The sequence below is a fragment of the Homo sapiens genome, chromosome 6, assembly GCF_000001405.40.
Source record: "Homo sapiens chromosome 6, GRCh38.p14 Primary Assembly".
NCBI lineage: Eukaryota > Metazoa > Chordata > Mammalia > Primates > Hominidae > Homo > Homo sapiens.
Genome location: NC_000006.12, coordinates 19,505,377 through 19,511,628, shown reverse-complemented (window position 1 = coordinate 19,511,628; position 6,252 = coordinate 19,505,377). Strand labels below are relative to the sequence as shown.

General features: G+C 38.0%; 1 annotated feature.

The window, feature by feature from the left end:
* Positions 4,215–4,379: a silencer, noted in NCBI's record as "fragment chr6:19507481-19507645 (GRCh37/hg19 assembly coordinates)". NCBI's record gives its function as "represses an EF-1alpha promoter that drives an FKBP-Casp9 reporter gene in an ReSE screen in HepG2 liver carcinoma cells {active_cell/tissue: HepG2}" and the evidence as "EXISTENCE:reporter gene assay evidence [ECO:0000049][PMID:32094911]".

Below are 6,252 nucleotides of genomic sequence, written 5' to 3'. Positions count from 1 at the left end.
CTGCAGCCATGCTGCCCACTCCACTGTGGTGAATGAACATGCAGAGGCAGGCACCCCAGCACTGGCAAGCACTCTGCTGCAGCCAATGAATATGCACCTCTTCATGCTGCTCCTGCTGCTGGCACATGCAAACAAAGATGTATCCTTCTGCTACTGCACTATGAAATGCTTTGGCTGACACCACTCATTGGAGTGTAGTGACCGCTGGTCCAGGAGCACCTTGTCAGCAGCCCCCTTCCCCAGCACAGTGGATTCTTAACCTATAGGAGCCTGACAACAAAATTGGGGCCTTATGCAAGTCCCCCAGAGTCTGAGCATGTAGTCCAGGACTTGGGAGCTGAGCACTGGCCCCCTAAAATCTTCCAGAAACAAAGCCAGTTGGCTGAATCCACTTTATACCACAATCAAACCTTCAAGTTTATTAAATAGGATAAAATGAAAAAAAAAAAAGTCCATCCATAGGTTAGCAACTTCAAAGATTAAAGAAACATCAGCCCCAAAACATGAGAAAGAACAAGTGCAAGAACTTTGACGACTCAAAAAGTCAGTGTGCCTTCTTTCCCCCAGATGACTGCACCACCTCTTCAGCAAGGGTTCTGAACCAGGCTGGGATGTCTGAGATGGCAGAAATAAAATTCAGAGTATGGATAAGAATGGAAATCATTAAGATGTAGGAGTATGTTGAAACCCAATCCAAGGAAGCTAAAAGTCACAATTAAATGATACAGGAGCAGACAGACAAAATAGCCAGTATAGAAAATAATGTAACTAACCTAACATAGCTGAATAGCACACTACAAGAATTTCATAATGCAATCAAACGTATTAATAGAAGAATAGACCAAGCTGAGGAAAGAATCTCAGAGTTTGAAGAATAGCTTTCCGAAATAAGACAGGCAGACAAGAATAGAGAATAAAGAATGAACAGGAACAAGTAAAACCTCTGAGAAATATTGGATTATTTAGAGAGACCAAATCTAATTGGTGTCCCTGAAGGAGATGAAACAGTGCAAGCAACTTGGAAAACATATTTGTGGATATCATCCATGAGAACTTCCTCAACCTAGCTAGAGAGGCCCACATTCAAATTGAGGAAATGCAGAGCACCTCAGTAAGATACTTCACAAGAAGTTTATCCACAAGACACATAATTAACATTCTCCAAGGCTGAAATGAAAGAAAAAATGTTGAAGACAGCTAGAGAGAAAGGTCAGGTTATCTACAAAGGGAAGCCCATTAGACTAACAACAGACATCTCACCAGAAATCCTGCAAGCCAGAAAATATTGCCAGCTAATACGCAACCTTCTTACAAAAAACAAATTCCAACCAAGAATTTCATATCCATCCATAATAAGCTTCATAAGTGAAAAAGAAATAAGATACTTTTGAGACAAGCAAATACTGAGAGAATTTGTTACCACCAGATGGGCCTTACAAGAGCATTTGAAGGAAGCACTAAATACAGAAAGGAAAGACCATTAGCAGCCACCAAAAACATGCTTAAATACAAAGAACAGTGACACTATAAAGCAACCACATAAACAAGTCTGAATAATAACCAGTTAACATTATGATGACAGGATAAAATCCACACATATCAATAGTAACCTTGAATGTAAATGGGCAAAATGCCCCAATTAAAAGGCACAGAGTGGCAAGCTGGGTAAAGAAACAAGATCCATTGATATGTTGTCTTCAAGAGACCCATCTCATATTCAAGGACAGCTATAGGCTCAAAATAAAAAGGTGGAGAAAAATTAACCACGCAAATGGAAAACAGAAAAAAGCAGAGATTGCAATTCTAATTTCAGACGTAACAGACTTTAAACCAACAAAGGTCAAAAAAGACAAAGAAAGGCATTACATAATGGTAAAGGGTTCAATTCAACAAGAAGATCTAACTATTCTAAATGTATATGCACCCAACACAGGACCACACAGATTCATAGAGCAAGTTCTCAAAGACCTTCAGGGACTTAGACTCCCACCCAATAATAGTGGGAGACTTGAACACCCCAGTGATATTATTAGACAGATAATCAAGGCAGAAAACGAACAAACATATTCAAAACCTGAACCCAGCACTGTATCAAATAGACTTGATAGACATCTGCAGAACTCTTCACTCAGAAGCAACAGAATATACATTCTTCTCATCGCCACATGGCACATACTCTAAAATTGATCACATTGTTGGACACAAAGCACTCCTTAGCAAATGCAAAACACTGAAATTATAAAAACTACTCTCTCAGACCACAGTGGAATGAAATTAGAAATCAAGATTAAGAAATTCACTCAAAACCATACAATTCCATGGAAATCAAATAACCTGCTCCTGAATGACTTTTGAGTAAATAATGAAATTAAGGCAGAAATCAATAAGTTCTTTCAAACTAATAAGAACAAAGATGCAACATACCAGAATCTTTGGGACACAGCTAAGGCAATGTTAAAATGAAAACATACAGCACTAAATGCCCACACCAAGAAGTTAGAAGAATCTCATTTTTCTATCATTATGTAAACTATCATTACAACTGATAGGTTACAAATGATAGGTTATATAATGTAACCTATCATTACAACTAAAAGAACTAGAGAACCAAGATAAAACAAATCCTAAAGCTAGCAGAAGACAAGAAATATTCAAAATCAGAGTTGAATTGAAGGAGATTGAGACATGAAAAACATTTCAAAAGGTCAAGAAATCCAGGAGTTGATTTTTTGAAAAAATTAATAAAATAGGTAGACTAATGAATAAGAAAAGAAGATCCAACTAAACAATTAGAAATGACAAAGGGGATATTACGACTGACCCCACAGAAACACAAATAACCATCAGAGCATATTCTGAACACCTTTATGCACATAAACTAGAAAATCTAGAAGAAATGGATGAAATCTTAGACACATACACCCCCTCAAGACTGAGCCAGGAAGAAATTGAATCCTTGAACAATTCAACAATGAGCTCTGAAATTGAATCAGTAATAAATAGCCTACCAACCAAAAACAAACAAACAGACAAACAAAAATCCCAGGACCAGATGGATTCACAGCCAAATTCTATCAGATGTACAAAGAAAAGCTAGTATCATTCCTACTGACACGATTTCAAAAAATTGAGGAGAGACTCCTCCCTAACTCATTCTGTGAGGACAGAATCATCCTGATACCAAAAGCCAGCAGAAACACAACAACAACAAAAAACTTCAGGCCAATATTTGTGATAAACATTAATGCAAAAATCCTCAAGAAAGTACTGGCAAACCAAATCCAGCAGTACATCAGAAACTTATCTACCACAGTCAAGTAGGCTTTATTCCTGGGATGCAAAGTTGGTTCAATATATGCAAATCAGTTAATATAATTCAGCACATCAATGGAACTAAAGATAAAAACCACATGATTATTTCAATAGATGCAGAAAAGGCATTTGATAAATTTTAACACCTCTTCAAGTTAAAAACTCTCAATAAACTAGGTATTGAAGGAATATACCTCAAAACAGTAAGAGCTGTGTGATGGTTAATACTGAGTGTCAATTTCATTGGATTTAAGGATACAAAGTATTCATCCTGGATGTGTCTGTGAGGGAGTTGCCAAAGGAGATTAACATATGAGTCAGTGGGCTGGGAAAGGCAGACCCATCTTTAATCTGGGTGGACACCATCTGATCAGCTGCCAGCATGGCTAGAATATAAAAAGCAGGCAGAAAAATGTGAAAAAGACAAAATGGGCCAAGCCTCCCAGCCTCCATCTTTCTCCTGTGCTGGATGCTTTCTGCCCTCGAGCATCAGACTCCAAGTTCTTCAATTTTGGAAATCAGACTGGCTCTCCTTGCTCCTCAGCCTGCAGACGGCCTATTGTGGGACCTTGTGATCATGTGAGTTAATACTTAATAAACTCCTATGTATCTATAGAAATATGTATATACACACACACGCATATATATATGTACACACACACACACACATATATATTCATTAATTCTGTCCCTATAGAGAACCTTGACTAGTACAAGCTGTCTATGACAAACCCACAGACAACATCATACTGAATGGGCAAAAGCTGGAAGCATTCTAAAGTCAGGAGATAGAGACCATCCTGGCTAACATGGTGAAACCCCATCTCTACTAAAAATACAAAAAATTAGCCAGGCATGGTGGTGGGTGCCTGTAGTCCCAGCTACTCCTGAGACCGAGGCAGGAGAATGGTGTGAACCCAGGAGGCAGAGCTTGCAGTGAGCCAAGATCACTCCACGGCACTCCAGCCCGGGTGACAGAGAGAGACTCTGTCTCAAAAACCAGCACAAGATAAGGATGCCCTGTCTCACTACTCCTATTCAACATAATATTGGAAGTTGTGGCCAGAGCAATCAGACAAGAGAAAGAAAAAAAGGGCATGCAAATCCAAATAGGAAGAGAGGAAATCAAACTATCCTTGTTTGCAGATGACATGATCATAAACTGAAACAACCCCATACTCTTGGCCCAAAAGTCCCTTGATCTGATAAACAACCTTAGCCAAGTTTCAGGATACAAAATCAACATGCAAAAATCACTAGCATTCCTATACACCAACAACAGTCAAGCTGAGAGTGAAGTGAGAAATGCAATCCCATTTACCATTACCATAAAAAGAATAAAATACCTATGGATACAGCTAACCAGGGATGTGAAAGATCTGTACAAGAAAGACTGCAAAACACTGTCCAAAGAAATCAGAAATGACACAAATGGAAAAACATTTTATGCTCATGAATAGGAAAAATCAATATCATTAAAATGGCCATACTGCCCAAAGAAATTTACAGACTTAATGCTGTTCCTGTCCAACTACCATTGACATTCTTCAGAGAATTGGGAAAAACTATTTAAAAATCTATTTGGAATCAAAAAAGAGCCTAAATATCCAAGGCAGTCCTAAGCAAAAAGAACAAAGCTGGGAGCATCACACTTCCTGACTTCAAACTATAATACAGAGTTACAGTAACCAAAACAGCATGGTACTGGTATGAAAACAGACACATAGACCAATGGAACAGAATGGAGAATCCAGAAAAAAGACTGCATACCTACAACTATCTGATTTTTGATGAGCCTTACAAAAGCAATGGGGAAAGGACTCCTTATTCAATAAACGTTGCTGGGGTAACTGGCTAGCCATATGCAGAAAACTGAAACTGGACCCCTCCTTACACTGTATGCAAAAATTAACTCAAGATAGAGTAAAGCCTAAAATGTAAAACCCAAAACTATAAAAAACCTGGAAGACATCCTAAATGATATTTTTCTGGACATTGGAACAGGCAAAGATTTTATGATGAGGAGGCAAAAGCAATTGCAACAAAAAAAAAACTTGACAAATGGGATCTAATTAAACTAAAGAGCTTCAGCATGGCAAAATAAACTACCAATAGAGTAAGCAGGCAACCTACTGAATGAGAGAAAATGTTTTCAAATTATGTATCTGACAAAGGTCTAATATCCAGCATCTATAAAAAACTTGTATTTATAAGAAAAAAAACAACTCCATTAAAAAGTGGGTAAAGGTCATGAACAGACATTTTCCAAAAGAAGACATACATGCAGCCAACAATCATATGAAGAAAAGCTCAACATCACTGATTATTAGAGAAATGCAAATCAAAACCACAATGAGATACCATTTCACACCAGTCAGAATGGCTATCATTAAAAAGTCAAACAATAATAGGTACTGGGGAGAATGTGGAGAAAAAGGAATGCCTATACACTGCTGGTGGGAGGGTAAATGAGTTCAACCATTGTGGAAAACAGTATGGTGATTCCTTGAAGACCTAAAAACAGAACTACCATTTGACCCAGCAATCCCATTGCTGGGTATATACCTAAGGTAATATAAGTCAGTCTGTCATAAAGACACGTGCATGTGTATGCTTATTGCAGCACTATTCACAATAGCAGACATGGGTTCAACCTAAATGCCCATCAGTGGTAGACTGGATAAAGAAAATGTGGTACATATATATCATTGAGTACTATGCAGCCATATAAAAATGAGAGTATGTACTTTGCAGAAACATGGAGGGAGCTGGAGGCCATTATCCTTAGCAAACTAACACAGGAATAGAAAACCAAATACTGCATGTTCTTATAAGTGGGAGCTAAATGATGAGAATACATGGACTCATAGAGGATAACAATAGACACTGGACTGACCTTGATTATGGAAAGTGGAAGGAGAGGATCAGGAAAAATAATTA